This window comes from Homo sapiens, chromosome 12, assembly GCF_000001405.40.
Source record: "Homo sapiens chromosome 12, GRCh38.p14 Primary Assembly".
In the NCBI taxonomy this organism is placed as follows: Eukaryota; Metazoa; Chordata; class Mammalia; order Primates; family Hominidae; genus Homo; species Homo sapiens.
The window spans coordinates 112,906,139-112,933,219 of record NC_000012.12 but is presented as its reverse complement, the minus strand read 5'-3'; the positions used below and the strand labels follow the sequence as shown (position 1 = coordinate 112,933,219).

Below are 27,081 nucleotides of genomic sequence, written 5' to 3'. Positions count from 1 at the left end.
TGATTTTCAAAAAAGATTTTATTTAATCAGGTGGCAGTAGATGGGGCATTGAGAGCAGAGGTAGAGTGAGGTTCAAGGGGGGATCAGTTGACAAAGGAGGAAACAACAGTAAGACAGTGTGTTCTTCCAGGAGCTGATGCCACTTGGAGTCACAGTGCTTGAGGAATTGCACAATAGGCTGGAAATGGCAGATTTCTATGATGATTCTTGGTCACAACTAGGAATTATTTGTGTTACCTCCATTTGACAGATTATGAAACTGAGGCTCAGAGAAGCTGAGCGACTTGCCTGGGATTGTACAGCAAAGGAGGGCGTGGAATGTGTGCCTGTGGAGCTTAATTAAATGGACAAGGAAGCACAGCAGGGTGGAGATTAAGAGCACAGGCTTTGAGGGCTGGCAGTTTAGGGTTTGCATCCCAGCTCTGCCACTCACCAGTTGTGTGACTTTGGGAGCAATGATTTCAACCTGTCTGAACCTCAATTCTCTCATCTGTAGCAACGGGGAAATAATGCATTCATAGGCTTAGCAAAGTGGCTGGCATCAGATAAGCACTGAGTAAATAGCAGCAGTTTTATTACTTTTGTGTTACTGTGGGGTTTTTTTTGCTTGTTTGTTTTTGTTTTTTTGAGATGTAGTCTCACTCTGTCGCCCAGGCTGGAGTGCAGTGGTGTGAGCTCGGCTCACTGCAACCACCAGCCCCCAGGTTCAAGTGATTCGCCTGCCTCAGACTCCTGATTAGCTGGGATTACAGGGGCTGGCCATTGATGCCCGGCTAATTTTTGTATTTTTAGTAGAGATGCAGTTTCACCATGTTGGCCAGGCTGGTCTCAAACTCCTGGCCTCAAGTGATCTGCCTGCCTCGGCCTCCCAAAGTTCTGGGATTACAGGCGTGAGCCACTGTGCCCGGCCATGTCATTGTTTTTATGATAATTATTAACCACAGCATCCTTTTCAGTCATACACAGCTAACTCAAGACTGAGATCCCACTATTTGTGTAAATCTACCTTGTATTTTTTTCTTAAATTTTATTTTTTAATGAGGGACAGAGAGAGAGAGAAGGAGACAGGGAGGAAGAGAGGGAGGGAGTTCACATGTATTCATATGGGGCATTGAAAGCAGAGCTGGAAATAGATGCTAATTTTAAGTAGAGAGAGAGGTTGGGTTGCAATTAATTTTATGAGACGTCTGTTTATTATTGAAGGTTTTCCTTGCTGTGATTTCTGCCTCCCTAAGCAACCTGGAAACTATAGGATAATGAGGCTCCTCTTGTCTGTTGCAAATTCACCGCATGTTCACTAATTATTGGTATAGTTCCTTCTGCCAACCAGTGTGAGGTTTACCTGAAAATGAAGAAAGGAGTGTGTGTCACTCTCATATTGAGGAGCCTGTCTGCCCAGAGAGCATCAGTGAGAAAAGCCTATAGAAGCATCTCCACTCTGGCAGTCAGGAGACCCTAGGTCTTATTTGTCTTGATTTGCTGTGCAGTCCCAGGCGAGTCACTTAGCTTCTCTGAGCCTCAGTTTTATTATCTGTCAAATGAAGAGAATGCGGGGCAACAGTTTTAGATGTTTTAGAGTCAGATGGTCTTGAGTTTGAGTCTGGAACCTATCTGTACCACATGAGCAAATGAGCGCCCTCTTCTGAGCCTGTTTCCTCATCATTAAAATGGATTTTATTTATCAAACCATTACCAGATGTCAGGTATCATTCCGAACACTTTATAAATATTGACTCATTTAATCTTCGTACAAATCCTATGAGATAGATGCTATTGTCAGCTTCCTTTTAGAGATAGGGAAATGGCATAGAGAGGTTAGGAAATTAGCTCGATGTTACAGAGCTGGAAATTGGTAGAGCTAGGATTTGAACCCAGGCAGTCGGACTCCAGATTCTTTGCTTTTAGCTCCTTCCTCCTTCCATCATGCTCCTCCACCTCACAAGGTTGTGATGTGAGAATAAAATGAAATAATGAATGTAAGGTCCCTAGCATGTGCCTGGAAAGTTGTAAATGTCAGTAAGTGGAGACTGCAATGGTTATGGTTATGCCTATTAGTGGAATGAGCTGCCCAGGATGCCCCAAAACAAAAGCAAATACAATTCCAGACTGCATGAACAGAAGACTCAGAAAAAGCCTCTCTTTATGGTGTGTGGGTATGTGTGGAAATGGTGACCCAGAGACTGTGGCCAAGATGGTGTAAATATGGAACCCATCAGTGAAAAATCTGGGATTGGAAGCCAACCATCATATTTTCCTGAAAACCAGTATATCCAGAAATGTTGATCAGCAGCCAGCTAACCAAGGAGAGTGTGTGTTAGAGAAGAGAGAAAGAAAGAGCTCCCCGAATGAATATGGGCTTCACTGAGTGAATGTGTGACGTCAGGGTGTGGGACACCCCCAGGGGAGCGTAACATTTGAAAGAACACAGTTTGATGGAGTTGATAAGGTCTGCATCAGCAGCCTGTTGCTATTAAAATGAACCCTGATTTTGTTCAGATTTATTCTGTAAAAGGCCAGAGTCAGGCTCTTGAGGGTCACACTGGGGTGGGGTGCAGATTGGCAGGGACCAAAGGGGACCTTAGTCCTTCCCTGAACCAAGATGACTGAGGCCAGTGAGGCTGAGGAGGGGGCTGTAGGAGACTCAGAGCACCGGCCTTGGGCAGGCAGGGACTTGGGGCATGAGGAAGGCCCCAGCAGAGCACAGCTCCCTAGGGTGTGTCCCAAGTGCCCAGCTCCGCAGTGGGCAGTGAGCATGAGGAGAAGGGGCCTTGCACTGGGGCCTAACAAAGGTGGGTTCAAATCCCACATCTGTCCTTTATCAGTGGTGTGCCCTTGGGCAGGTCACTTGACCTCTCAAAGCCTCTGTATCAGGCCATTCTTGCATTGCTATTAAGGGATATCTGAGACTGGGTAATTTATAAAGAAAAAGAGGTTTAATCGGCTCATGGTTCTGCAGGCTTTACAGGAAGCATGGTACTGACGTCTGCTTGGCTTCTGGGGAGGCCTCAGGAGGCTTACAATCATAGCAGAAGGCAAAGGGGGAGCAGGCATATCATGTGGCGAAAGCAGGAGTGAGAGAAAGTGGGGAGGAGGTGCCACCCAGTTTTAAACAACCAGGTCTCATGAGAATGTACTCACTATCATAAGGATAGCACCAAGGCGATGGTGTTAAACTACCCATGAGAAATCCACCCCCATGATCCAATCACCTCCCAACAGGCCCCACCTCCAACACTGGGGATTACATTTCAACATGAGATTTGGGTGGAGACATACATTCAAACTATATCAGCCTCAGTTTATTCATCTGCGAAATGGGGAGAGTCTGACATACCTGTCTCAAAGGACAGGCAAGGCAAGGCCACGCACACTAAGTGCTAAGCACAGTAACTCAGGGAAGGCCACCATCATCATTATCATCTTCTTGCTTATCTCCCCCTTGCCTTCTTCCACCTTATTATCATAAAAAAGGACTCTTCTTGCCTGGGTGAGAAGACAGTTGCCTTCTGTGTGACTTTGGGCTAATTACTTAACCTCTCTGTGCCTCAGCTTCCCTATCTCTAAAATAAAGATGTTAATAGCACCTACCTCATAGGATTTATATGAGGATTAAATGGGTTAACATTTACAAAGTGTTTGGGACAGCACCTGACATCTGGTAATGGTTTGATAAATAAAATCTCATTGCCTGAGGCTCTTGTGTAGGTAACTCCAGGAACCAAACAGAATATGCAACAAACTCCCAAATGCAGAATTTATAAAGGGGCTCCTCAGTCATGTTAAGAATACATAAAGGGGTTGGAGTGTGGAGAGGAGCAATGTTTGGCAAAGAGATTGCCCTGGAGAGAACTGTTGTCAGGTGATGTGTTGCTTCCCTTTGGGAGATGGATGGGGGTGTGATATTCCTTGCCTCAATCCAGCTGGCTTCCCAAGGACCCCTTGGAAAGCTTTCCATCTAGCTGGGAGACACAGAGATTCTGAGGTCTGCCTTACACCCAAGAAAGCTGAAGTGGCCTGTAGTTGCCTGATGGGGGCAGGATGGGCTTCATTTGGGAGGCATTTCCTCTGGTCCAGATGTGAATCACATGGGTGACAATTCTGGCATGGGGTCATCTTGGGGGCTTGTCTCACAGGGCCCTCTGGCAGCAAAGAGATGCTCACAAGAAGCTGGGTGTGGTACAGAAATCTAGATGAGGCAGGAGTTAGACGGGACCATGTAGAGGAGAGATGTAGAGGCCCTGGGAAAGGGACTTACAGAGGTTCCCAGGCCTGGGATTGCTGTAGAATCCATAAACACACCCTCTCCCCCAATCCTCAAGAGAAAGCGCCACTTCTAGCCATCTGCCAGACCTCAGTGTGGTAAACTGAGTCACTGGCCCCCATTTCACTGCTTCCTGGATCCATGCTTTGCCATGGGATGTTGTAGTTCCTCCCACTAAAGACGATGGTTACTTCCCAAGTCCTTGAGTTTGCTCAGCCATGTGACTTGCATGGCCAGTGGAATGTGAGAAGTGACGGCACGTCAGTGCTGGGCTGAGGCCTTAAATGGCTTCATGTGTCTCTGTTTACTCGCTTGTGCTTCTGCCATCTCCAAAGCCCATTCAGCCTGGGCTCCAGAAGACACGCACAGAACAGCCTTAAATGCAACTGGCAGGAAGGAGTTGAGCTCAGGAGAACCCACAGCATATACAGAGGTGCCCAGCTGAGCCCAGCCTGGATCAACCAACCCATGCTCACATGAGCATCAATCACTTCACAGTTGTTTTAAGCTACTGAGAGTTTTGGGGTAGTTTGTTATGTAGCAATCACTAACCAATACACTTGGAAGGAGTAAATCTCTTCTCTCAAGAAAGAACTGCTCTAGTCCTCCCATGGAATGATTCTGCTGCTTCCCAGAGGAACAGAGAGAGCAGAAGGCAACCACAACCCCATCCCTGGAGGCAGGCTGCTAACTTCCAGTCTTAACTGGGAGAGACGTCTGCCCTTTGACCACAGAATGAAGGGTTGATAAAATATCAAGGACTGAACATTCAAATTCCTGAATGAAGGATGTGTTTGTAACTTGAAGGGACAGAGGACTACCTATTAGCTGAGTTAGCAGAAAAATCATGAGACCTTCCTGCAAACACTAAAGATCCTGGCACTAGGCTTAATACGTCACTTTATGCAGTGATCCTGAGTTCAGTGGGTTTGCCTGTGGTCAGCACAAACCCAAACCAGGAGAGGGACAGGCATCCACAGTTCTGAGGCTGTCCCTTCAGGCATGCTACAGTCTTTGGTCTTCAAGTCATAGGATTCAGTTCAGTAAATGCAAAGGTGTCTGTAATTATGGACAAGCTACAAGTATGCTGGATTCTATTTCCAGCATCCTTGCTCCCAAACATAGATGGTTGCTGTGAACTGTGACGTGACCTCCAACAACTTCTCCCTACATTAGCACAGCGGAAAAAAAAATCAGAAAATCTGGTCATTCTTGCTTGATATAAGTGAAAAAGACACTTATATTGCATCTGAGTCATGCTGCAGCTTGGGGGTCTGTTTGTTACAGCAGCTAATGTTATCCTAACTAATTCATCAAACCAAGATCATAGTAGTCCTGCTGCAATCATGCATGTTCTATAGAGTAAGGTTGATTTTAGTACAAAGCTGTCATGTGGGAGACTGGAGGCCTCGCCATTTGTGGGAGAGAACAAAGATGGTGAATAGAAGTCTCCTATGGCCAAACACAAGATCTTTAATTTCATAGGATTCTGGGAGTCACATGGCTGAGAATAGGGAGGGAGGCACTTCTTAAATCCACCGAAGATCCTATGCTCTGAATGACGTGTGACCAGAGAATTAGAATCAATGCTAATTTCAGGTATACAGTGATGTTGTGGGAAGTCAGGGACCCCGAACGGAGGGACCTACTGAAGCCATGACAGAAGAACATAAATTGTGAAGATTTCATGGACATTTATCACTTCCTCAATCAATACTCTCATAATTTCCTATGTCTGTCTTTAATCTCTTAATCCTGTCATCTTCATAAGCTGAGGATGTATGTTGCCTCAGGACCCTGTGATGATTGCGTTAACTGCACAAATTGTTCGTAAAGCATGTGTGTTTGAACAATATGAAATCTGGGCACCTTGAAAGAAGAACAGGATAATAGCGATGTTCAGGGAACAAGGGAGATAACCATTAGGTCTGACTGCCTGGGAGCCAGGCAAGACAGAGCCATATTTCTCTTATTACCAAAAACAGGTAAGAGAAATATCCCTGAATTCTTTCCCCAGTAAGGAATATTAATAATTAACAGCCCTGGGAAAAGAATGCATTCCCGGGGGGCCTCTAAAATGGCCGCTCTGGGGGTGTCTGCCTTATCCAGTTGCAGATAAGGGATGAAACACGCCCTGGTCTCCTGCAGCACCCCCAGGCTTGCTAGGATTAGGAAATTCCAGCCTGGCGAATTCTAGTCAGACTGGTTCTCTGCTCTTGAACACTGTTAAGATGTTTATCAATGACAATGCATGCACAGTGGAACATGAAACTTCCTTAGTAATTCTAGTTTTGCCCTGACCTTGTGATCTCACCCTGACCTTCTGCCTTGTGATCTTTTGTCGCCCTTGAATCATGTGTTCTCTGTGACCCACACCCTATATGTACATTTCCTCCCTTTGAAGATTGCTAATAAAAACTTGCTGGTTTTATGGCTCAGGGGGCACCACAGAACCTGCCGACATGTGATGTCTGCCCTGGACACCCAGCTTTAAAATTTATCTCTTTTGTACTCTTTCCCTTTATTTCTCAGACCAGCCGACACTTGGGGAAAATAGAAAAGAACCTACATTGAAATATCGGGGGCTGGTTTCCCCCGATACAGTATGATATTCAAGCATCATGTCGTACTCCTCAAATACATGCATTTTTTTATTAACATAAAATTTTAGGCCAGGTGCAGTTGTTCATGCCTCTGTAATTGCAGCATGCTGGGAGGTGGAGGCAGAAGGAATGCTTGAGGCCAGGAGTTCAAGACCAGCCTGGGCACAATAGTGAGACCTGGCCATTACCCCCCACAGGCTCCTGCCATCAGATTTATTGGCCCTCTAATAAATTATTATATCATTTATTGGATAATTATAAGATAAATAGAACTGTATTGATTGGACCTCTCATAAATAGTGCCTGTTATCTCATCAGACAATTGTCCCTGAGGAGTCTCTTGCTCATCTTTGCATCCCCAGCACTTAGCTCAGAACATGGCCCAGGGCAGACCTTTGATAAATATTTTTGAATAATCATCATAATAAGCTCTAACTTCCTTTAGGATAAGCTATATGTGAGGTACTGCCATAAATCCATCATCCATTAGCTCCTTCAGTCCTCTCTGTAACACTAAGAGCCACAATTGCACCCAAATTTATTTATGTATTTATTTATTTACTTATTTCTGAGACAGGGTCGCATTCTGTTGCCCAGGCTGGAGTGCAGCGGCTTGATCATGGCTCACTGCAGCCTTGACTTCGTGGGCTCAAGGAATTCTTCCTCCTCAGCCTCCTGAGTAGCTGGGACTACAGGCATGAGCCACCACACCTGGCTAATTTTTTTATTTTTATAGAGACAGGGTCTCACTATGTTACCCAGGCTGGTCTTGAACTCCTGGGCTCAAGCAATCCTCCTGCCTTGGCCTCCCAAAGCATGCACACCTATTTGACAGAGGAGAGCCTGTTTCACCAAGGAGTTAGGTAAGTGACTTGATGTCTCATAAGATTCAGAAGCAGGATTTGAGCCCAGGCAGTGTGACTCCAGAGCCCTGGGTTTGATCTGCCTGAAGGGAAGTTTGGGGAGGGGCAATACTGGCCTGCGGTTGGCTGGGAGAGGGGCCCTGGCACCTCACAGACAGGCGTGAGGGGTGTGCAAGGAGGGGATTTGTATGAGGAAAAGGGGGAGGGTGTGGGAGAGTTCACGCAGGGCCTCAAAGACAGCAGTACACCAAAATTCACCCCCTCGTTGAGCTGGGAGACCTAACATGAAGCTGAGCGTGCAGAGTTCACCCATCAACCCTGGATCTCAAACTTGACATTGAACGTTTCCTCATTTTGAACACTTCCAGCTGTGCCCTAATTTCTTCTGTGAACTTCACTCTCATTTCTGTTGGCTAAACATTAACTCTTTTTAGTTTTGTTTTCTCGGCAGGGAGGAGCTGAGGAAATTTATCTCTGAGGGCTCAGAAATTTCCAGCTCAGGTGCTTCAATGTTATACCATAGTTTCCCTCGTCCTTACACACTTGGTCCTCTGTTTCCAAATCTTGTGAATTTGTCCTTGAACCAGCAGCTCCAAACAACAGCACCCCAGAGCTTTCTGTAGCCTGTGCCTGCCAACTTTGCGTAAACTATCAGATCTTAGCTGTGAGAAATACTTCCCAAAAGTTTTTTTTTTCTGTGCAAGAAAAGTGTCTTTATTATTTCCCGTGGCCACAGAAAATTTAGAAAAGTATAAAGATCACCTATAATGCTATAGCCAAATATCACCACTGAAAATGTTTAAGTCTCCCATGAAGCAACCATTGCAAAATGAAATTAAAGAAAGCATGCCAAGTACGATAGTACTGAAACAAATACTTGGGAATACATATGACAAAAACCATGAAAGACCTCTGCAGGGAAAATGATAAAACATTGTCACTGTCACTAAAGAGGACAAAAATTAATGAAAAGAAACTCCAAGTTCATGGATCAGAATCATCAAATTCTATATAGATATATATATAAAATATAGATGTTATTCTTCCCAAGCTAATATGTGTAATTCTAATCAAATGCCTCCCCATATTTTGGGAGGAGCTTCACAAATTGAGTATAAAATTAATGTAGAAATAAAAAGGGCCAAGAGGAACCAATGACTTGATAAAAAGAGAACAGAGTTCTCCCAAAGATACTAAGAATTATAAGGTTATAGTAATTAAGACAAGGTTGTGTTAACTCAAGGACACAAAAAATAGACCAATGGAAAAGAGCAGAGTCCAGAAACAGACTCCCACATAGATGGGCTCTGGGAATATTTAAGAGGTGGCTTTGCAAAGAAGTGGAGAGAACATGATCCGTTCAATAAATGCTGCTGGGATAATTGAGCATCCACATTGGAAGAACTGGAACTGAACCCCTTCCTCACATGCCATATAAAAATAAATGCCTTTTGTTGTCTGTGCTTTTGGTGTCACATCCCTGAAATCACTGGAAAGACCAATGTCATGAAGTTTTCCCCTAAGTTTTCTTCTAGTAGTTTCAGTTTCAGGTCTTACGTTTAAGTCTTTAATCCATTTTGAGTTGATTTTTGTGTATGCTGTAAGGTAAGGGTCCAATTTTATTCTTTTGCATGTGGACATTCAGCTTTCCAAACACCATTTGTTGAAGACACTGTCCTTTCCCCATTGTGTATTCTTGGCAATCTTGTCAAAGATCAGGTGGCCACGTATGCAAAGCACAGGCAACAAAAGCAAAAATAGGCAACTTGGACTACATCAGACTAAAAAGCTTCTGCATAGCAAAGGAAACAATCAACGGGCTGAAAAGACAATCTATGGAATGAAGAAAACATTCACAAACCATACATCTAATAAGGGTTAATCTCCACAATATGTAAGGAACTCCTACCACTCACTAGCAAAAAAATTAATAACTTGATTTAAAAATGGGCTAAGGATAGGAATAGATCTTTCTCCAAAGAAGACACACAAATGGATAACAGGTCTATGAAAATATACTCAATATCACTAATTATCAGAGAAGTGCAAATCAAAATCACGATGCAATATCACCTTACTCCTGGTAGGATGGCTATCATTTTTTAAAGAATGAACAAAAGATAACAAGTGTGAGGATGTGGAGGGATGGGAACTCTTGCACACTGTTGGTGAGCCACTGTGAAAAACAGTATGGAGGTTCCTCAAAAAATTAAAAATGGAACTACGATATGTTCCAGCAATCCCACTTCTGAGTATCCAAAAGAATTGAAATCAGGATATCAAAGAGATAACTGCATTCCCATGTTTACTGCAGCACTATTCACAATAATCAAGTGGAAACAACCAAAGCAACTATAAATGGATAAATTCGTTAAAGAAAATTAATGTATACAGTGCACACAGTTAATGTATACAGTGCACACATTTAATGTATACAGTGCACATACAGCCTTTAAAAATAAGAAAATGTGTGTGGGAATGGTAGCTGTGATCCCAGCACTTTGAGTGGCCAAGGAGGAAAGATTGTTTGAGGCCAGGAGTTCAAGACCAGCCTGGACAACACAGCAAGACCCCATCTCTACAAAAAAATTTAAAAATTAGCCAGGCATGTTGGCACACAACTGAAGTCCCATTTACTTGTGAAGCCGAGGTTTTCCCTGACTCCTAGGATGGCTCCTAGAAATGCAGAAAAGTATGAAATTCCAGAATTGCTGTGGAGCTGATGGAAGAAGGTATTAAGAGGCCAAGGGAAATGGGCACAGTGAAGAGGAGTGGATATGTTTACTATGTAAGTCTGGAAATAGAGTCCCAGGGGACAAAACATTCCCCGAGGCCATAAGGAATGTGTGGAGAGAGGGACACCTGCATCATGAGGTGTTCTGGTGGTGGCCTCCTGGGAAGAGGGGCTGTTACAGAGCTTGGATTGATAAGGGCAATAGGGCAGGCAGGACTCCCAGAGCAATAGAAGCCAGGTGGGTGCAATGACTATAATGAATGGTGAGGTTGGAGGGGCAGCCAGGGGTCGTGACTGATACAGGGTTAGGGACCTGGTTAACACAATGTGGCCTCTTAGTGACTTAGTGGATGAGTATCTTGAAAGGGCACTACTCAATTTATACCATTAGAAGAAATCAAGGCCGGACGACCAGGGGGTTAAGGGGAGCCATTCCAATAAAAAGTCATCATCCCTTCCTGATTTTTGGAACTGACCAACCCAGTTTTCAGACTAGACCCCATTAACAAAGAGGAGGCAGAGTCCCCTTGGGAAAGGATGCTGTGACACCATAGCATATATAGTAATGGTTTCCCCCAAAGGACCTATGGCCATTTATTCAGAGGATGATACACTGGAAAAGGGGAGTCACTCAACATTTCTAAGACTGTTGGGCAGAGGATCAACACTGATAACGAAAAGCGTCATCAGATTCTGTCCCCATCAGAGTAGGGGCATATAGGAGCCAAGAGTGAAAAATGGAGCCCTGGCCAAGTCAGGCTTGTCATTTGCCCACTGTGTCTATGGACCGACCTGGTGATCATTTCCCTGTCCCCTGAATGTATATTCAAAAAGGACATGCTTGGTAAAAGACACTACCCGACATTGGCCTGAGGGTTAAGTGAGGGCTATCACAGTGAGGAAGGTCATGGGGATACCTTTGAAACTGCCACCTCCCTGGCCAGGATAGTAAATTAAAACCACTATTACATCTCAGAGCCAGGGAAGTACAGAAATTAGCACCCTTTTATTAAGTCCTAAAGGGCTCTGCAGCTGGTATAGGCTGTGGTGCAAGTCGCCCCTCTACTTGGCCCACACCAGCCTGGCAGACCCCATGGTGTTCAAAGTGTTAGTCATGGGAAAAGGTGTCATTCAGAGATTATGGCAATATCTATTTAGAGAATTATAACACAGACCCCTCCAGGACTCTGGAGTAAGCCCATGTCATTTGCAGCAAAAATGTCTATGCCCTTTGAAAAACAATCCCGGTATACTCCTGGGTCCTGTTGTAGATGGAAGGCTGATCACGTGGCCATGTGGCTCTTCGATCAAGCAACTAATTACTGATTCCATTAATCTACTGTTGGTTGTGGCATTGCTATAAAATGAAACACTCTCAAAAGGCAACACAAGTGCATTTTCCACACAGTAAAATACAATGAAGCCATTACATTGGGATGTCCACACTTGCCTATCAGCATGGAGTGTGTGATGATTGATTTTATGTGACAAGTTGACTGGGCTAAGGGTGCCAAGATAGCTGGTGAAACATCATTTCTAGGTGTATCTGTGAGGGTTTTTCTGAAAGAGATTCACATTTGAATCAGTAGACTGGCATCATCTAATCCAGTCTACAAATAGGACAAAAAGACCGAGGAAGGGTGAATCTGTGCTCAGGTTGAGCTGGGACATTCATCTTTCCCTGCCCCTGGACATTGATGCTTCTGGTTCTCATGGCGCCAGAGTAGGAAAACATAAGCTTTCAATGAATGAGGACACATTAAGACCATGCTACAGTGATTAAGAACATGAGCTTTAGAGAGAGAAGGATTAGGGTTCAAGTTCAGACTCTGCCCCTGACCAGCTGGGTGACCCTGGGCAAGCACTGTAACCTCTTAGAACCTCAAGTTATTCCACTTAATATTATGAGAATAACAACAAAACCCATCTCACAGGGATGTGGGGGGACTAAATGGAAGAATATAATCTGGACGGACCAAAGGCTGCTTACCAGCCACCAAAAGTGACCAGCAACTCAGGTGATCAGAGCATGCTAGGTTCTTTTGTGAGTATTTATGAGAGTTTTATATTTTAGAGTCTTATGAATGATATGTTGATTCTTGGTCCCAAGGACAGTGTGACAATGTGGCAATGTAAGTCAGTATAGTCGAATCTTTAATCCAGTGATTTACCTTGGAGGACAGAGCTGTCCAATAGAAATACATAATATAACACAAGCCACATGTATGATTTCACATTTTCTAGTAGCCACAATTAAAAAGGGAAAAGAAAGAGATGAAGTTCATTTGATTTAACTCAAATATATTTAAAAATTGTCATTTCAGCACACAATTAAAAAAATTATCAGTTGGCAAGAACTTGGCATTCTTTTCATTTGTACTAAGTCTTTGAAACCAAGTATATACCTTGCACTCACAGCACATGTAGATTTAGACTAGCTACATTTTAAGCATTTGATACATGTGGCTAGTGGCTGCTGTGTCACACAGGGAGGTTCTATAATTTTTCTCAGAGATATGGAGAAAGGATAAATCAAGGATGCTTATTTCAGAATTATTAGTAATAGGAAAACCATCTAACATTAAGATGTTTTGCACAAATGTCAACTCCATGAGGACAGGGATTTTTTTATTTAAAAAATTCTGGAAGTCTTGGCTCTGCAGGGTCATGAGGACAGGGATTTCTGTCTGCTTTTGTGCATTGCTATATTCCCAGTGCCCAGAGCTATGCTTGGCACATAGTAAGTGCTCAATAAATATTTCTTGTTGAATCAATGTATATACACACACAATACCCCTAGATATGCATCTGTACTTCTTGGCTCTGTGCCTTGAAGTTAATAAACACCCAATAAATGGTATTTGCTTTATTTTTATTGTTATTGATAATACATTAGACATTACCCTCCCATCAGGTGCACAGAAGAAAGTCAAGGCTGGAATTTCATTCTCTTATCTAAATCTCTCTGTTCTCTCTCAGGGAATATTTTCAGAGAATAGGTGGAATGAAGTGAGGCTGTGGAGAATGTTATCTATGATAGGATAGAGGGCATAGAAGGCCAGGAGTCAGGAGACCTGGGTTCTGTCCTGGATTATACACCAGCTCACTGAGGAGCTTTGTCCTCTCTGGATCAAGAGTCCCACCTGAAAATGAAGGAACTGGTCCAGATAACACTGGAGCCCTTTCCCCCAAGATGCACTGGCATTCAGAGGATGGTGCAGGTCCAGTCCTCTTCTGCCTGTGGGGTGGATGCTGCCTGGAGTGTGCTGGGTCTATGAGAGAAATGAGGGTACTCATGTGTTCCAATGTAACCATATTTCTGATACCTCCTGGGATCGTCGGTCTCATCGTCTGCACTGTTGCTTTCAGCCTGAAAGGGTGAGACACATGATCACATCAGGGAGTCTTCCTGCATTGCAGCTGGATTCAGTGAGCATTTACGGTAGACACTGTGACATGCCATCTGGATCCCCCTTTGAGGAAGGACTAACAAGCCCCAGCTGCTGGGACAGTGGTCAGCAGACAGACTTCAGCCGTCAGCCCTTTTAGGGGTTGCCTCAGCTGCAGAGAGCCTTTTGCTCAAAGCCATGCCCTTTCCCAAGGTGCCCAAGCACAGTGAGTGATCCACGTAGGGGTATAGAAGCCTGGCCACCTCTGTCACCATGGGGCAGCTCTAAAGGCCATTCCAGCTCCAGGGCTGTCCTTGGAGTTGGCTGAAACTGGCATTCGCTCTGCATCCCTGTTCACTTCTCCCTATTCTCTTTCATGCTTCCTTCCTATCCTTTCTTCCCCCCTTTCCCTGAGTGCTGGTTCCAGTGGCTCTCCCCCAGAACATCCTGCATACTAAATTCCATCCTGGAGTCTGCTTCCTAGCCATCTGCAACATCATCAATCCCCTGGAATCAGACAGATTCCTGCTTGGAGGTGGAAAGATCCAAGACTGGGTCCTTTGCCCCTGTTTAGCTGTGTGACAACCCAAGTCACTCAGCTGCTCAGAGTCTCCCATTGGTCAGATGAGAGGTGGGGATGTGACAAGGCAGGCTGTTTAGCACAGTGACATGAGCACTGGCTTTAGAGTCCACTGAGCTTGAATTCCATTTCCACCACTTGTTAGCTGATGTCCTTGAGCAAGTGACCTCACCTCTCTGAGCCTTTGTCTCATCTGTAAGATGGGAATGATAGAAAACATGCCTCATGGGACTTTTCAAATAACTAAAAGTAGAATGTCCATTCAACCCAGCAATCCCACTACTCGGTATCTACCCAAAGGTAAAGAAATCATTCTATCAAAAGACACCGGCACTCGTATGTTTATCGCAGTACGATTCACAATAGCAAAGTCATGGAATCAACTTAAGTGCCCATCAGTGTGAACTGGATAAAGAAAGTGTGGTATATCTACACCATGGAGTATTATGCAGCCATAAGAAAGAATGAAATCATGGTTGCAGCTGGAGGCCATTATCCGAAGTGAATTAACCCAGAAACAGAAAATCAAATACTTAACATCTGCTAAAGATGGGAACAATAGACACTAGGGACTCCAACAGGGAGGAGGAAGGGAGAAAGGCAAAGGTTGAAAAAATTCTTTTTGGGTACTCTGTTCACTATTTGGGCGACAGGATCAATAGAGGCCCAAACCCCACCATTACACAATATAGCTGTGTAACAAATGGCACATGTGCCCTCTGAATCTAAAATAATAAAAAATTTTTAAAAATGCCTCATGGGATTGTTGTGACTATTTAATGAGAGAGTGCATATTAAAGGGCTTAGGACAGAACCTGAGCCCGAAGCAGACAGTCAATAAATGGTGTTAGAGATTATTTATTATTACTCTTAGGGGAATGAATTCTGGACAAGGGATGTGAAAATTCCAGAAACCCTCGATTGTGACCAAAATGACTGTAAAATATGGAGCACAGCCTGTCACTATATGAATATAAATGGCCTTTGGCAAGAGGTAAGTTCTTTGGAAAGAATGGTCTCCAGCTATATGTCTCAAGCTTCATGGAGAGGGGCAGGGATGAATGGCAGGGAGGAAGCAGGAGGTCTCACCAGCAGAATCCAGGAGCTCACTGGGGACCCATCCCAATTCTTAAAGCATGGGTAATTCAGCCAGGCCTCAGCCTCTTGTGCCAGCTGCCTCCAACCCTTTGGGTCTCCACCACCCAAGTTTCCTGTAGGGTCCGCCGGGTCCAGGATCACAGGCCTGCAGAGCAGCATTTAGAGAGGGACAGGTGAGAAGCTGGGGCTCTGTCTAGGGAGTCCAGATGCTCCTGGGAGAGCAAAATAGCAGCATGGGATGAACTGGGACTCAGAACATGAGGAAGGGCTCCCTGGGGTATGTCCCCAGTGCCCTATTCCCCAGCAGGCAGTGAGCATGAGGAGAAGGAGCCTTGCACTTGCACCTGACAGATGTGGGTTTGAATCCCACCTCTGCCCTTTATCAGTGATGTGCCCTTGGGTAGGTCACTTGAACTCTCTAAGCCTCAGGATTCTTATCTGTAAAATGGGAATAGTTCCACATACCTATCTCAAAGGCTATGCTGTGAGGATAGAAAAAGCCCAGTTATATGAAATGCTCAGCACAGCGACTAGAACATAACATACATATCAGTAATATTGCTAATAATTTTTACTATTATATTAGCATGTGTTAGTCTTACAACAAGCTTTCAATACCTGGGAGCAATTACTATCATTGTTGTTGCTGCTGTTCTTATTTCAGTTCAAACTGCAGCTATTTTACTCATTTTCTGTTAAGGGTTGGACAAGCTCCTTACCTCTCAGAACCTCAGTTTACTCACCTGTAAAATAATTGGCATAGTGCCTGCCTCACAGGGTTGGAGGTAGGTGTTTAAAACAGATGGCAGTAGTAAAATGCCCAGTACAATGATGGGCAACAGGAGATTCTCACTAAGTGGGGAGCCCTCCCACCTCCTCCATTTCCAAGGCACTGTACCTGTATCCAGGTGTTCATTTACATAGGGGAGCTAAGCCATGTGGGGATAGCATACCTGGGTTTCGTGAGCTGCCTTCTCAGGTACTTTTCAATAATGGGGTTTTTAAAGTCATAATACTTTGTCCAGTAGATGCAGAGTTGCTGGTAGTTTATGACTAATTCCAAGACCGTCCGAAATCCCTGGGCTGTGTTGAAATGTGTTTTCATGCTCCCTCGCTCCCAAGCATAGACCGTCAGGAGCTCCAGGGCATACTGAGGTGGCAGCTTCCCAAGCTTCTTCTTACACTGAGAAGAGGAAAAACAATCAGAAAAAAATTGGTTTGCTCAACTTTTGTGTAAACTACACTTCTCATGGGCCAAATCCAGCCTGCCACCTGTTTTTATAAAGTTTCCTTGGAACGAATCCAGGCTCATTCATTTATGTATAGTTTATGACTGCATTCATGCTACAAAGGCAGGGTTGAGTAGTTGCAACAGAGGCTGTGCAGTCCACAAAGTCTAAAATATTTACTATCTAGCCTTTTATTTTTTAAAAAAGTGTACTGGCCCCTTGTTAAGAGCGCTGGATTCTTATTGATGTGGGTTTGAATCCTGGCTTCACCATTGTCCAATTCTAAGTAGATGACTTAGACTCTCAGAGCCTCATGATTTTCATCTGCTAAGTGAGTGGTTGTAATAGCACCTATCTGATAAAGATACTACGAAAATTAACTGAGAAGAAGGACTTGTAATGTTCCTAAGAAATGCACAGAAGCAAATGAAATTCTTTCTGGAGGAATATACATAATCCAAAACCTCAAATTATTTCACACATAATTTTCAAATACAATGACCAGCACATATGTAACCAGGCACACAAGGAAACAAAACACTAAGAGTTATGACCAACAGAAAGAAGAGAAATAGTAATAAACCTACAAACTTTAAATGCTGAAAGACCGAACACAGACTTTAAAATAACTAGGAACTCTACAAGGAAAACTACAAAACATTGCTGAAAGAAAATCATAGATGACACAAACAAATGGAAACACATCCCATGCTCATGAATGGGTAGAATCAATATTGTGAAAATGACCATACTCCCAAAAACAATCTACAAATTCAATGCAATTCCCATCAAAATACCACCATCATTCTTCACAGAACTAGAAAAAACAATCCTAAAATTCATATGGCACCAAAAAAGAGCTCACATAGCCAAAGCAAGACTAAGTAAAAAGAACAAATCTGGAGGCATTACATTATCAGACTTCAAACTATACTGTAAGGCCATAGTCACCAAAACAACATGGTACTGGTATAAAAATAGTCACGTAGACAAATGGAACAGAATAGATAACCCAGAAATAAAGCCAAACACTTACAGCCAACTGATCTTTGACAAACCAAACAAAAACATAAAATGGGGAAAGGACACCCTATTCAACAAATGGTCCTAGGATAATTGGCAAGTTGCATGTAGAAGAATGAAACTGAATCCTTCTCTCTCCCCTTATACAAAATTCAACTCAAAATCGATCAAATACTTAAATCTAAGACCTGAAACCATAAAGATTCTAGAAGATAATATTGGAAAAACCCTCCTACACATTGGCTTAGGCAAAGACTTCATGACCAAGAACCCAAAAGCAAATGCAACAAAAACAAAGATAAATAGATGGGACTTAATTAAACTAAAAAGCTTCTGCAAAGCAAAAGAAATAATTAGCAGAGTTAACAGACAACCCACAGAATGGGAGAAAATCTTCACAATCTATACATCCAACTAATATCCAGAATCTACAAAGAACTCAAACGAATCAGCAAGAAAAAAAAAATCTCATCAAAAAGTGGGCTAAGGACATGAACAGAGAATTCTCAAATGAAGATATACAAATACCAACAAGCGGGGTGGGGGGAATTGGGGAGGGATAGCATTAGGAGATATACCTAATGCTAAATGACGGGTTAATGGGTGCAGCACACCAGCATGGCACATGTATACATATGTAACTAACCTGCACATTGTGCACATGTACCCTAAAACTTAAAGTATAATAATGAAAAAAAAAAAAAAAAAACAAATACCAACAAGCATATGGAAAAATGCTCAACATCCCTAATTATCAGGGAAATGCAAATCAAAACCACAATGTGATACCACCTCACTCCTGCAAGAATGGTCATAATAAAAAATCAAACAATAATAGATGTTGGTGTGGATGTGGTGAAAAGGGAACACTTTTACACCATTGGTGGGAATGTAAACTCATACAACCACTATGGAAAACAGTGTGGAGATTCCTTATAGAACTAAAAGTAGATCTACCATTTGATCCAGCAATCCCACTACTAGGTATCTACCCAGAGGAAAAGAAGTCATTATACAAAAAAGATACTTGCACACACATGTTTATAACAGCACAATTTGCAATTGCAAAAATATGGAACCAGCCCAAATGCCCATCAATCAATGAGTGGATAAAGAAAAATGTTATACACACACAAACACACCATGGAATACTACTCAACCATAAAAAGGAACAAAATAATGGCATTCACAGCAACCTGGATGGAATTGGATACTATTATTTTAATTAAATAACTCAGGAATGGAAAACCAAACATTGTATGTTCTCACTCATATGTGGGAGCTAAGCTATGAGGAAGCAAAGGCATAAGAATGATACATGGGACTTTGCGGACTGCGGGGAAAGGGTGGGGTGTGGCAAGGGTTAAAAGATTACACATTGGGTACAATGTACACTGTTTGGGTGATGGGTGCACCAAAATCACCACTAAAGAACTTATTCATGTAACCAAACACCACCTGTTCCCCCAAAAACCTATTGAAATAGAAAAATTAAAAATAAAAAAAAATAGTCCTCTCTCTGTGATCAGTGGTTTGAATGAGGACAGGAAAGGAGAGGTATCAGAGCCATATATGTATACACATGAATCTGTGTGTGCTCATGTCACAGAAAAGAAGTGTAAATAAAACATAAGATTAACAAATAATAAAAATTAAAAATAAAATAACTAGGAATATCATATTCACAGGATAAAATAAGAACTTTAAATAGTTAGCAGGGAATTAAAAGCCATAAGAAGTACCATGGCAGATACAAAAATATGAAATAGAAATTTTAGGATAAAAATGGCAACTGTAATTAATTACAGCAAATTAGATATAGCTAAAGAGAAAATTAGTTAATTGGAAGGTAGATTAGAAGGAACTATTCAGAATAAAGCATGGAAAAATAGACAAAAGGATGAAAAACACAGAAGAGAGTATAGAGATATGAAAGATAGAGCAGGGTCTAACATACATTTAATTGGAATTCTAGAAGGTGAGGAGAGAATGAAGGAGAATCAATATTTTAGAAGAATGGCTGAGAAGTTTCAAAACTGATTAAAGATATCTACCCACAGATTCAGGAATCTTAACGGAATCCCAATCAGGACAAACAATAGGAACCCATCATTAAGACACAGCAGATTGAAGCTAAACAAAATCAAAGACAAAGAGAAAACTTTTACATGCAGCCAGAAGAATAAGACAGGTTACTTATAAAAGAGCTGCAGTTAGACTGGCAACTGACTTTTTAATGATGACACTGGAAGATGGAATGATATATTCAATATACTGAAATGACCACCCAGCAAAAGCACCCTTCAACAATGAAGGCAAAAGCATGACATTTTCAGACAAACAATAACTGAGAGAGTTTACTACCAATAGACCATCATCAAAAGAAATCCCAAAGGATGCATGATCATTTAGGAAAATTACCCCAGATGGAATGTTAGAGGTGTAAGACAGAATGAATAGTGAAGAAAGTGGTAAATCTGTGAGCAGATTAACTAAACATTTGGCTATAAAACAATAATACTTCGAGGCACTTGAAAATATAAACAGACTTGAAATATACAAGAAATGTAGCATATAAGTTGGAGGTGGTGATGATGGTGGTTAGTGGAGTTAAATTATTGTTAATCTTGTCTTGTTTTAAAGGAGAACAGCATCAAGAAAGAAAGAAAAAGACAATTCTTGGCTGTGCAGGACTCTCTTGATCATTGTACAATAACTAGCATTCTTGTCTTCTTTCCACTAAATATAAGTAGCACCCATGTCCTCCCATCACCATGGTTACCAAAAACACCCTCATTAATTTTCAATATGTCCCTGGGGGCAGTGCTGCTTTTGTCAGGAACTGCTTTTGTAAATTCTACAATGCTCAGGCTCCATGATTACAATTCATAGAACAGCAAACACTTAGAAGTCTGGCAACTAAATGATTGTCTTTTTTTTACCTAGAGGTGTTACTTTTAAATTGGAAAGTTTATTCCTGATTATTTTCATTCATTCGTTCATTCAAGAAATATACATTGAATGCCTATTATTATCAGGCAAACTCTTAAGTCAATAGACCCAAATTCGAGTTTTTGTTTGTTTGTTTGTTTGTTTGTTTGAGAGAAGATCTTGCTCTGTCTCACAGGCTGGAGGGCAGTAGTGCAATCCTGACTTACTGCAACCTCCTCCTCCCAGGCTCAAGCGATCCTCCCACCTCAGCCTACCCAGTAGCTGGGGCTACAGGTGCTCACCATCACACCTGGCTAAATTTTTAGTTTATTTTGTAGAGACGAGGTTTTGCCATGTTGCTCAGGCTAGTCTTGAACTCCTGGGCTCAAGCAATCTACCTGCCTTGGCTTCCCAAAGTGCTGGGATTACTGGTGTGAGCTACCGCGCCCAGCCAAATTCAAATTTTACTTCTGCTACTTATTGGCCGAATGAGCCATGTGACCCAGGAGTTTCTCTTTTTGACCCAAGTTTCTCTTGGTGTAAAATGGATTTAATAATAATGCCTAACCTTATCTAACTTACAGAATCACTGTTAAAATTGACTAAGATGCAGGGCATTTAAAAGTGAACAGAAAATTGTATCACATCCACAAAACATAGATAAGCTAAGCACATACTACATGTTAGCTTTTATTATGTGTACTCCTATGGTGGCTAAAATATGCTACATTTATCAGGACCAACTATATGCCGTGTTACTCTAGCTATGGCATGCTACTCGTTGCAGATAAGAAAGCAGAAAGAACAGAAAGGTTAAGTTGCTTACTTAAGGCCAGCCAGCCAGTAAGTGGGAGGAAAGGGCATCTGAACATATATTTGTTTGAAACTCTTGTTTTAACTTATCCACCTTCTGAAGAGTGTGGTTGACTCTCTCTCTGTGTGTGTGTGCGTGCGTGTGTGTATGTAGCATTGATTCATTTATTCAACAGTTATTTACACCTATTATGCACCAGGCTCTGTTTTAAGTTCTGGGGATACAGCAGTGAACAGAACACCAAAATCCCTTCCTTTCTCTCTTCCTTCCCTTTCATTCTCCCTTCTGTTGCAGGCTCCTCTCTCCACCTCTTTTTCCTTTCTCTCCTTTTTCCATCCCTCTATTTCCCTCCACCACTCCCCCTCCTCTTCCCTTCACTCCCTTCTTTCTCTCCTCCCCCCACCCCTCCTCTGCTCCCAGTCGAGACAGGACCCACCAGGCCTGGTGGGAGGGCCATACATTTTGGTACCAGTGCTTGACTAGGCGGATGAGGCTCTTGAGCTTGGTGGGGCGCTGCTTCAGGAAGTCTCTCTGTAGTTCTGTGAAGCAGGTGGAGAACTCGCCCTCTTTCTGCAGGTCGGTGCACTCCTCGATGAGCTTGACATAGATTTGGGGGTTAGGTTTATAGCCGCCAGTCAACTGACCTGTTCGGGCAAAATCTACAACTTAGGTGTCAGCTCTTCTCTGAATTTCCTTCAGTCACTCTGAGGGGACAATCTCCCTGGCCATGGGGTTTGATTGAAAAGTGCAGCAGACCCAGGGCTGGGAAGTCTTGAGGTCCATTCCTGATCCTCCCTCCTGCCCTCTCCACTGCCATCACCCCATCCAAGCCACCACCGTCACTCGCCGGAACTATGGCAGCAACCTCTTTACAGGTTCCCCCACAGCCTGTTCTCAACCTGGCACCTAGAGAATGCTGCTGATCATGCTGCTTCCTGCATCCCATAACATCTGGAATTTTAAAACCCAAAGATCTTATGGTGGCCAATGATGTCTGGTGTGATCTGGTCTCTGGAACCTCTCCCACCTCACCTCCTGTCTTGCTTCCTTTGCCCACTTTCTACTTCTCTGACTTTTTCTCTCTTCCTCAAATGTGCCATGGTCATTGCTGCTTCAGGGCCTCTGCACTTGCCATTCCTCTTCCCAGAACCTCCAGATCTCCCCAAGGCTCACTCCTTCTCGCCACTCAGGCTCAGGGACCCTCCCTCACGACCCTGTCTAAAAAAGCTCCCTAACCCCCATGGCTATCTATTGTTTCACCCTACTTAGTTTTCTTTTCTTTTCTTTTTTAATCACTCCTTATATTCTTTTCTTTTTTCTTTTTTTCGAGATGGAGTCTCACTCTGTTGCCCAGGCTGGAGTGCAATGGCATGATCTTGGCTCATTGCAACCTCCATCTCCTGGGTTCAAGCAATTCTCCTGCCTCAGCCTCCCGAGTAGCTGTGATTACAGGCACACACCACCACGCCCAGCTAATTTTTGTATTTTTAGTAGATGTGAGATTTCACCATGTTGGCCAGGCTGGTCTTGAATTCCTGACTTCAAGTGATCCCCCCACTTTGGCCTCCCAAAGTGCTGAGATTACAGGCGTGAGCCACTGTGACCAGCCTTCTCCCTCTTGTCTTTTACAACCATTGTACTTCAGCCCCCAACACAGGAGATGGCACAAAGGAGAGAATCCAAAACTTTCTCATACCCTGGTGTCTTTGGAGAGTCAGCATTTTTTTTTTCATGGCTGCCCTAGGACTAAAGGAAACTGTGACAGTTCCTTTAATTAAGTCCTAATTACTTGATAATTAATCACTAATTACTGCTTAATGACCAACTATTAATTAGTAGCCACTAATCAGTAAGTTCAGTTTAATAGTAGCCGTTTGTGCGGTGTGTGACAGATGTCATCGCATTTCCCTCAAAAAATTAAAATCTAAACTATTCCGTGTCCCTCTGTGAGTTCACTGTGGTGTTTTGAGGTGCCTTCATATACAGCTGGGAAATTCATAGTTTTGACTGATTGACTGATTGATTGAGACAGGGTCTTGCTCTTGCTCTGTGCCTAGGATGGAGTGCAGTGGTACATTCGTGGCTCACTGACACCTCGAATCCTTGGCTGGCCTCATGTGATCGTTCAGTCTCAGCGTCCTGAATAACTGCGACCACAGGCATGTACCACCACACTTGGCTAATGTTTTAAAATTTTTAGTAGAGATGAGGTTTCACTTTGCTGCCCAGGCTGGTCTTGAACTCCTGGGCTCAAGCGACCCTCCTGCCTCAGCCTCCAAAAGTGTTGGAATTACAAGCATGAGCCACCACACTTGGCTGGAAGTTCCTATTTTTGAACACCTATTACTCATCAGAGCTGAATGTAGATGATCATTTATCACTTAAAATAATGATATGATACAGGTAGTGTGGTTTTACCAATTCTCCTGATGTGGCAAGGGAGCCTCTGAGAGGTTACACTTCCTGTCCAAATGTTCCTGCAAATTATAAATATCTATCTCCCAACGTGCTGCATACGTTTGATGAGATCTCATGTTGGGACAAAGATGAGAGTAACATGAACTTTAAGCCACATCTTTGCTGCCTGATTTTAGAAAGATAAAATTCACACATTTTGCCTTAAACAGAACCAGTAAGCCTTGCAGATGTTCTGTAAGAAATGTCTTTGTCCCCACATTATGCCAATTTGCTGTTTAATGTCTCTCCTGTGATAGATCATGACCGTATTCATTCTTGCCCCGGGACAGATCCTAAGATCTCCTCCCACCCTGCTTTAGAGAGATGCCCTGTTGGGGCAAAAAGCTCTCAAACTGTGGGAGATTTCTGCTCAGAAATGGGAAGAGGGAGAAAAAGAAGCTGGGAGCTCTCACCCAGGGCATCAAAGGCAGGCAGCACATCGAACTCCACCCCCTCCCCGAGCTGGAGCGAACTCAGTACGAAGCTGAGCGCACGGGGGTTGCCCCAGCGTGGAGCCTGGACCTCAAACTTCACGGAAAATGCTCTCTCTCTTTGACAGGCTTCCAGCTGTCTCCTAATTTCCTGGATGAACTCTCCCCGGCGATTTAACTGATCCTGAAAAGTGGTGAGAGGACTGAGGAAGACAACCAGGTCAGCGTCAGATCGGCCTCTGAGGGTGGTGCCCTTGCCTGAGGAGCCACCCTGAAAAAGACGACAAAAATAATAATTGATGCTTAGTGAGGCAAACCTCCCTAAATAAAATGACAGGAGCAATCACTAACATTATGGAGCACTAGCCACTGTTCTGAAGGCATTGCATGTCTTAAACTCCTATAATGCTCACAATGATGCTATGATTTGGATGCCATTATCATTAGTTCCCATTTTACAGATGGGAAAATGGATGCTCAGTGAGATAATATATCAGCCCCATCACCCAGCTAGTAGGTGGCAAATACAATTCAAACCTGGGGGCCTTCTTCCAGGATCTGTGTTCTTTTCCCATTGTCCTTTACGATGCCCAGGACTAGCTTATGCTGGGTGGTTCACACTTACTATTTTACTTAATCTACACGGCCCTATGAGGTATTGAGGGAAAGTAGAGGAAAAATCAGTTAGGTAAATGGTCAAGGCTGGGCCCTGGAGGAGCGGCCTGCCTGAAACTGGCGCAGGGAGTGGGACTTACCTAAAACAAATCCACAGTTATACATACAAGAGAAGCAGCGCTTTATGCTTGCCTAGAGATATACCCACAGCTGCATAAGGTAAGGGAAGTTGCACAGCTTTACTGATAAAAAGTTTCTCAAACAGTTACAGGGAGGAGAGTGGTTTCTTATAAAAGTTTTTTGCATTCAGCTGCAATCTGGCAATCCACTCAGACTTCCCTCTCCACAGTGGAGACAGCTTTCTTCTTTTGCTTACTGAACTTTTGCTCCAAGCTCACGTTTGTGTCCATGTTCCTTAATTTTCTTGGATGCAGGACAAAGAACCTTGGGTACTAATTCAGTGAGAAGCTGCTACATTAAGGTGCACTGGCAAGACTGCAACAGTATTGGGGATTATGGCTGAGGAAATTGGAACACAGAGTAGTTAAGTGACTTGCTCAAGGTCTTGCAGCCAGCAGGTGCTATTTGCTTTCAAAACATATGATTCTTCACTGCAGAAATGGTGAGCCCCTAGCCTGGCCACGAATTAGCAAACTGTTTACCAGAGCTGGGATTCAGTTCCCTATTTCTGAAATGGGCATCGCCCAGGACAGTGGTTCATAAACTTCAGCGGGAAGTAGGGGGGAGGGTCACTTGTTAATAATAGGGATGTAGGATTTCACCCCAGAATCTATTTTAACATGCTGTGTGGATAAATAAGAAACCACCATCCCAGAAGATCTCAGCTCTCTGTACTCACATTTGCACCCTGGGTTCTAGGTTTTTGCTTCTCTCTCTCTCTCTCTCTCATTCTCAATCTCAACTCTTGCACATTCAGCCACCCCTCCCCTGGCCAGGCAGGCCTGGACTCACCTTTACCACCTTGGACACACACACAGGGTAGGAGCTACCTCGGAAGCACCTTTCCTTCAGGAACCCACAGATGATGTCAATGGCATGGTTGATTTGCATGCGGAAACACGTGTCTGGCAAGAGATAGTCTTCAATGAACTTGTCCAGAGATTTGGCTGGGGTATTTCTGAGATCCATCATTGACAGGAGAGAGAGTGGCAACAGAACTGCCTCCCAGACCTGTTTGCTTTTATCTCTTCTGCTGACTGAGCTTGGACTGCTGTTGGTTTCGTTTCCTCAGAAGGGAGGAGCTGTCTTTGCACTTTCCTTTTGCAAATCAGACACTCCCCTGATCCCAGTGCTGAATTTCATCTGCTCACTCTTCTGCTTCCTGAAACTTACCCTTTGTCCTTTAGCCAGCAACAAGCAGCCCAGCCTTTCTCTGAACTCTGCTCTGGAAATGCATTTTAACCTCCAGCCAACATAAATCTTATTTAACAGATTTTGTGTTTCCTTCTTTATCTTTTTTTTGTTGTTGATGAAATCCTTTCACAGTTGTCTGTGGTATTTTCCAGCAATACATGCCCACTGCAAAAAGAAAAAAAGTCAGAAAAACCAGGAAGTGGAAAGATCATCTATGATTCTAACACTACAAAATTGCCTCTATAAACGTTTTGATATAGAGCTTTCCAGATTTTTTTCAAATGTTAACACACACACAAACACAGGTCTCTTTTCTTTTTGTTAAGAATGGTATTATACTATGCTTTTTTCCCTTTCAATTAGTAGATTTTTATTTTATTTTATTATTTTTTGGAGACAGGATCTTGCTTTGTTATCCAGGCTGGAGTGCAGGGGCATGATCATGACTCGTGCAACCTCAACTTCCTGGGTTCAAGGGATCCTCCTGCCCCAGCCTCCTGAATACCTGGGACTACAGGCATGCGTTACTGCACCCAGCTCATTTTTTATTTTTTGTAGAGACAAGGTCTTGCTATGTTGCCCAGGTTGGATTTTATTTCTCACAGCAGTTTTAGGCTTACAGAAATATTGAGCTGAATGTGCAGAGAGTTCCATAAGCTCTCTCTCCTGCCAATAAGTT

At 43.2% G+C, this 27,081-nt stretch overlaps 1 protein-coding gene across 23 annotated transcripts, besides 38 other annotated features; it reads right to left on the bottom strand.

The window, feature by feature from the left end:
• Positions 1 to 26,258, bottom strand: OAS1 (2'-5'-oligoadenylate synthetase 1). 23 transcript variants are annotated; one of them, NR_175991.1, is made up of 7 exons: positions 26,001 to 26,258; positions 24,396 to 24,684; positions 21,985 to 22,169; positions 16,482 to 16,711; positions 15,520 to 15,673; positions 13,605 to 13,831; positions 1 to 1,342 (listed from the first exon to the last, which is right to left on the bottom strand). NR_175991.1 is itself a non-coding variant. In NM_001320151.2 (6 exons), exons 1-6 carry the CDS (start codon positions 26,178 to 26,180, stop codon positions 1,298 to 1,300), a joined length of 1,083 nt encoding a protein of 360 aa, NP_001307080.1. In that variant the 5' UTR covers positions 26,181 to 26,258; the 3' UTR covers positions 1 to 1,297. The 23 variants fall into 23 exon arrangements, 14 of the variants coding, with proteins under 14 accessions (NP_001307080.1, NP_001392954.1, NP_001392951.1 ...); NM_001320151.2 differs by lacking the exon at positions 13,605 to 13,831; NM_001406025.1 differs by lacking the exon at positions 13,605 to 13,831 and having other exon boundaries at positions 21,962 to 22,122.
• Positions 2,692 to 2,861: an enhancer, noted in NCBI's record as "experimental_24404 CRE fragment used in MPRA reporter constructs". NCBI's record gives its function as "activates a minimal promoter by MPRAs in K562 erythroleukemia cells, with activity observed for the introgressed 12:113368249 variant allele {active_cell/tissue: K562}" and the evidence as "EXISTENCE:reporter gene assay evidence [ECO:0000049][PMID:34662402]".
• Positions 3,609 to 3,778: an enhancer, noted in NCBI's record as "experimental_24368 CRE fragment used in MPRA reporter constructs". NCBI's record gives its function as "activates a minimal promoter by MPRAs in K562 erythroleukemia cells, with activity observed for both the introgressed and non-introgressed 12:113367332 variant alleles {active_cell/tissue: K562}" and the evidence as "EXISTENCE:reporter gene assay evidence [ECO:0000049][PMID:34662402]".
• Positions 3,609 to 3,785: a biological region, named in NCBI's record as "Neanderthal introgressed variant-containing enhancers experimental_24357 and experimental_24368".
• Positions 3,616 to 3,785: an enhancer, noted in NCBI's record as "experimental_24357 CRE fragment used in MPRA reporter constructs". NCBI's record gives its function as "activates a minimal promoter by MPRAs in K562 erythroleukemia cells, with activity observed for the introgressed 12:113367325 variant allele {active_cell/tissue: K562}" and the evidence as "EXISTENCE:reporter gene assay evidence [ECO:0000049][PMID:34662402]".
• Positions 5,113 to 5,282: an enhancer, noted in NCBI's record as "experimental_24338 CRE fragment used in MPRA reporter constructs". NCBI's record gives its function as "activates a minimal promoter by MPRAs in K562 erythroleukemia cells, with activity observed for both the introgressed and non-introgressed 12:113365828 or rs7316586 variant alleles {active_cell/tissue: K562}" and the evidence as "EXISTENCE:reporter gene assay evidence [ECO:0000049][PMID:34662402]".
• Positions 5,113 to 5,443: a biological region, named in NCBI's record as "Neanderthal introgressed variant-containing enhancers experimental_24317/24320 and experimental_24338".
• Position 5,197: a transcriptional cis regulatory region, noted in NCBI's record as "Neanderthal adaptively introgressed variant 12:113365828 (GRCh37/hg19 assembly coordinates) or rs7316586 in the experimental_24338 CRE". NCBI's record gives its function as "modulates activity of the experimental_24338 enhancer by MPRAs in K562 erythroleukemia cells {active_cell/tissue: K562}" and the evidence as "EXISTENCE:reporter gene assay evidence [ECO:0000049][PMID:34662402]".
• Positions 5,274 to 5,443: an enhancer, noted in NCBI's record as "experimental_24317/24320 CRE fragment used in MPRA reporter constructs". NCBI's record gives its function as "activates a minimal promoter by MPRAs in K562 erythroleukemia cells, with activity observed for the introgressed 12:113365667 variant allele {active_cell/tissue: K562}" and the evidence as "EXISTENCE:reporter gene assay evidence [ECO:0000049][PMID:34662402]".
• Positions 5,740 to 5,909: an enhancer, noted in NCBI's record as "experimental_24306 CRE fragment used in MPRA reporter constructs". NCBI's record gives its function as "activates a minimal promoter by MPRAs in K562 erythroleukemia cells, with activity observed for both the introgressed and non-introgressed 12:113365201 variant alleles {active_cell/tissue: K562}" and the evidence as "EXISTENCE:reporter gene assay evidence [ECO:0000049][PMID:34662402]".
• Positions 5,740 to 5,962: a biological region, named in NCBI's record as "Neanderthal introgressed variant-containing enhancers experimental_24298, experimental_24301 and experimental_24306".
• Positions 5,780 to 5,949: an enhancer, noted in NCBI's record as "experimental_24301 CRE fragment used in MPRA reporter constructs". NCBI's record gives its function as "activates a minimal promoter by MPRAs in K562 erythroleukemia cells, with activity observed for both the introgressed and non-introgressed 12:113365161 variant alleles {active_cell/tissue: K562}" and the evidence as "EXISTENCE:reporter gene assay evidence [ECO:0000049][PMID:34662402]".
• Positions 5,793 to 5,962: an enhancer, noted in NCBI's record as "experimental_24298 CRE fragment used in MPRA reporter constructs". NCBI's record gives its function as "activates a minimal promoter by MPRAs in K562 erythroleukemia cells, with activity observed for the introgressed 12:113365148 variant allele {active_cell/tissue: K562}" and the evidence as "EXISTENCE:reporter gene assay evidence [ECO:0000049][PMID:34662402]".
• Positions 6,068 to 6,237: an enhancer, noted in NCBI's record as "experimental_24295 CRE fragment used in MPRA reporter constructs". NCBI's record gives its function as "activates a minimal promoter by MPRAs in K562 erythroleukemia cells, with activity observed for the introgressed 12:113364873 variant allele {active_cell/tissue: K562}" and the evidence as "EXISTENCE:reporter gene assay evidence [ECO:0000049][PMID:34662402]".
• Positions 6,068 to 6,330: a biological region, named in NCBI's record as "Neanderthal introgressed variant-containing enhancers experimental_24293 and experimental_24295".
• Positions 6,161 to 6,330: an enhancer, noted in NCBI's record as "experimental_24293 CRE fragment used in MPRA reporter constructs". NCBI's record gives its function as "activates a minimal promoter by MPRAs in K562 erythroleukemia cells, with activity observed for both the introgressed and non-introgressed 12:113364780 variant alleles {active_cell/tissue: K562}" and the evidence as "EXISTENCE:reporter gene assay evidence [ECO:0000049][PMID:34662402]".
• Positions 6,422 to 6,716: an enhancer, noted in NCBI's record as "tiled region #3381; HepG2 Activating DNase matched - State 9:DNaseU". NCBI's record gives its function as "activates a minimal TATA promoter and a strong SV40 promoter by Sharpr-MPRA in HepG2 cells {active_cell/tissue: HepG2}" and the evidence as "EXISTENCE:reporter gene assay evidence [ECO:0000049][PMID:27701403]".
• Positions 6,422 to 6,778: a biological region, named in NCBI's record as "Sharpr-MPRA regulatory region 3381".
• Positions 6,437 to 6,606: an enhancer, noted in NCBI's record as "experimental_24287 CRE fragment used in MPRA reporter constructs". NCBI's record gives its function as "activates a minimal promoter by MPRAs in K562 erythroleukemia cells, with activity observed for both the introgressed and non-introgressed 12:113364504 variant alleles {active_cell/tissue: K562}" and the evidence as "EXISTENCE:reporter gene assay evidence [ECO:0000049][PMID:34662402]".
• Positions 6,559 to 6,728: an enhancer, noted in NCBI's record as "experimental_24281 CRE fragment used in MPRA reporter constructs". NCBI's record gives its function as "activates a minimal promoter by MPRAs in K562 erythroleukemia cells, with activity observed for both the introgressed and non-introgressed 12:113364382 variant alleles {active_cell/tissue: K562}" and the evidence as "EXISTENCE:reporter gene assay evidence [ECO:0000049][PMID:34662402]".
• Positions 6,566 to 6,735: an enhancer, noted in NCBI's record as "experimental_24278 CRE fragment used in MPRA reporter constructs". NCBI's record gives its function as "activates a minimal promoter by MPRAs in K562 erythroleukemia cells, with activity observed for both the introgressed and non-introgressed 12:113364375 or rs61478890 variant alleles {active_cell/tissue: K562}" and the evidence as "EXISTENCE:reporter gene assay evidence [ECO:0000049][PMID:34662402]".
• Positions 6,609 to 6,778: an enhancer, noted in NCBI's record as "experimental_24275 CRE fragment used in MPRA reporter constructs". NCBI's record gives its function as "activates a minimal promoter by MPRAs in K562 erythroleukemia cells, with activity observed for both the introgressed and non-introgressed 12:113364332 variant alleles {active_cell/tissue: K562}" and the evidence as "EXISTENCE:reporter gene assay evidence [ECO:0000049][PMID:34662402]".
• Position 6,650: a transcriptional cis regulatory region, noted in NCBI's record as "Neanderthal adaptively introgressed variant 12:113364375 (GRCh37/hg19 assembly coordinates) or rs61478890 in the experimental_24278 CRE". NCBI's record gives its function as "modulates activity of the experimental_24278 enhancer by MPRAs in K562 erythroleukemia cells {active_cell/tissue: K562}" and the evidence as "EXISTENCE:reporter gene assay evidence [ECO:0000049][PMID:34662402]".
• Positions 6,969 to 7,138: an enhancer, noted in NCBI's record as "experimental_24270 CRE fragment used in MPRA reporter constructs". NCBI's record gives its function as "activates a minimal promoter by MPRAs in K562 erythroleukemia cells, with activity observed for the introgressed 12:113363972 variant allele {active_cell/tissue: K562}" and the evidence as "EXISTENCE:reporter gene assay evidence [ECO:0000049][PMID:34662402]".
• Positions 6,969 to 7,188: a biological region, named in NCBI's record as "Neanderthal introgressed variant-containing enhancers experimental_24264 and experimental_24270".
• Positions 7,019 to 7,188: an enhancer, noted in NCBI's record as "experimental_24264 CRE fragment used in MPRA reporter constructs". NCBI's record gives its function as "activates a minimal promoter by MPRAs in K562 erythroleukemia cells, with activity observed for both the introgressed and non-introgressed 12:113363922 variant alleles {active_cell/tissue: K562}" and the evidence as "EXISTENCE:reporter gene assay evidence [ECO:0000049][PMID:34662402]".
• Positions 7,832 to 8,001: an enhancer, noted in NCBI's record as "experimental_24231 CRE fragment used in MPRA reporter constructs". NCBI's record gives its function as "activates a minimal promoter by MPRAs in K562 erythroleukemia cells, with activity observed for the non-introgressed 12:113363109 variant allele {active_cell/tissue: K562}" and the evidence as "EXISTENCE:reporter gene assay evidence [ECO:0000049][PMID:34662402]".
• Positions 7,832 to 8,136: a biological region, named in NCBI's record as "Neanderthal introgressed variant-containing enhancers experimental_24215 and experimental_24231".
• Positions 7,967 to 8,136: an enhancer, noted in NCBI's record as "experimental_24215 CRE fragment used in MPRA reporter constructs". NCBI's record gives its function as "activates a minimal promoter by MPRAs in K562 erythroleukemia cells, with activity observed for both the introgressed and non-introgressed 12:113362974 variant alleles {active_cell/tissue: K562}" and the evidence as "EXISTENCE:reporter gene assay evidence [ECO:0000049][PMID:34662402]".
• Positions 10,473 to 10,642: an enhancer, noted in NCBI's record as "experimental_24176 CRE fragment used in MPRA reporter constructs". NCBI's record gives its function as "activates a minimal promoter by MPRAs in K562 erythroleukemia cells, with activity observed for both the introgressed and non-introgressed 12:113360468 variant alleles {active_cell/tissue: K562}" and the evidence as "EXISTENCE:reporter gene assay evidence [ECO:0000049][PMID:34662402]".
• Positions 10,473 to 10,808: a biological region, named in NCBI's record as "Neanderthal introgressed variant-containing enhancers experimental_24171 and experimental_24176".
• Positions 10,639 to 10,808: an enhancer, noted in NCBI's record as "experimental_24171 CRE fragment used in MPRA reporter constructs". NCBI's record gives its function as "activates a minimal promoter by MPRAs in K562 erythroleukemia cells, with activity observed for both the introgressed and non-introgressed 12:113360302 variant alleles {active_cell/tissue: K562}" and the evidence as "EXISTENCE:reporter gene assay evidence [ECO:0000049][PMID:34662402]".
• Positions 11,238 to 11,407: an enhancer, noted in NCBI's record as "experimental_24163 CRE fragment used in MPRA reporter constructs". NCBI's record gives its function as "activates a minimal promoter by MPRAs in K562 erythroleukemia cells, with activity observed for both the introgressed and non-introgressed 12:113359703 variant alleles {active_cell/tissue: K562}" and the evidence as "EXISTENCE:reporter gene assay evidence [ECO:0000049][PMID:34662402]".
• Positions 11,623 to 11,792: an enhancer, noted in NCBI's record as "experimental_24159 CRE fragment used in MPRA reporter constructs". NCBI's record gives its function as "activates a minimal promoter by MPRAs in K562 erythroleukemia cells, with activity observed for the introgressed 12:113359318 variant allele {active_cell/tissue: K562}" and the evidence as "EXISTENCE:reporter gene assay evidence [ECO:0000049][PMID:34662402]".
• Positions 12,147 to 12,316: an enhancer, noted in NCBI's record as "experimental_24152 CRE fragment used in MPRA reporter constructs". NCBI's record gives its function as "activates a minimal promoter by MPRAs in K562 erythroleukemia cells, with activity observed for the introgressed 12:113358794 variant allele {active_cell/tissue: K562}" and the evidence as "EXISTENCE:reporter gene assay evidence [ECO:0000049][PMID:34662402]".
• Positions 12,147 to 12,319: a biological region, named in NCBI's record as "Neanderthal introgressed variant-containing enhancers experimental_24146 and experimental_24152".
• Positions 12,150 to 12,319: an enhancer, noted in NCBI's record as "experimental_24146 CRE fragment used in MPRA reporter constructs". NCBI's record gives its function as "activates a minimal promoter by MPRAs in K562 erythroleukemia cells, with activity observed for both the introgressed and non-introgressed 12:113358791 variant alleles {active_cell/tissue: K562}" and the evidence as "EXISTENCE:reporter gene assay evidence [ECO:0000049][PMID:34662402]".
• Positions 20,145 to 20,314: an enhancer, noted in NCBI's record as "experimental_24142 CRE fragment used in MPRA reporter constructs". NCBI's record gives its function as "activates a minimal promoter by MPRAs in K562 erythroleukemia cells, with activity observed for both the introgressed and non-introgressed 12:113350796 variant alleles {active_cell/tissue: K562}" and the evidence as "EXISTENCE:reporter gene assay evidence [ECO:0000049][PMID:34662402]".
• Positions 25,978 to 26,417: an enhancer, noted in NCBI's record as "active region_7052". NCBI's record gives its function as "activates an Ori minimal core promoter by ATAC-STARR-seq in GM12878 lymphoblastoid cells {active_cell/tissue: GM12878}" and the evidence as "EXISTENCE:reporter gene assay evidence [ECO:0000049][PMID:35858748]".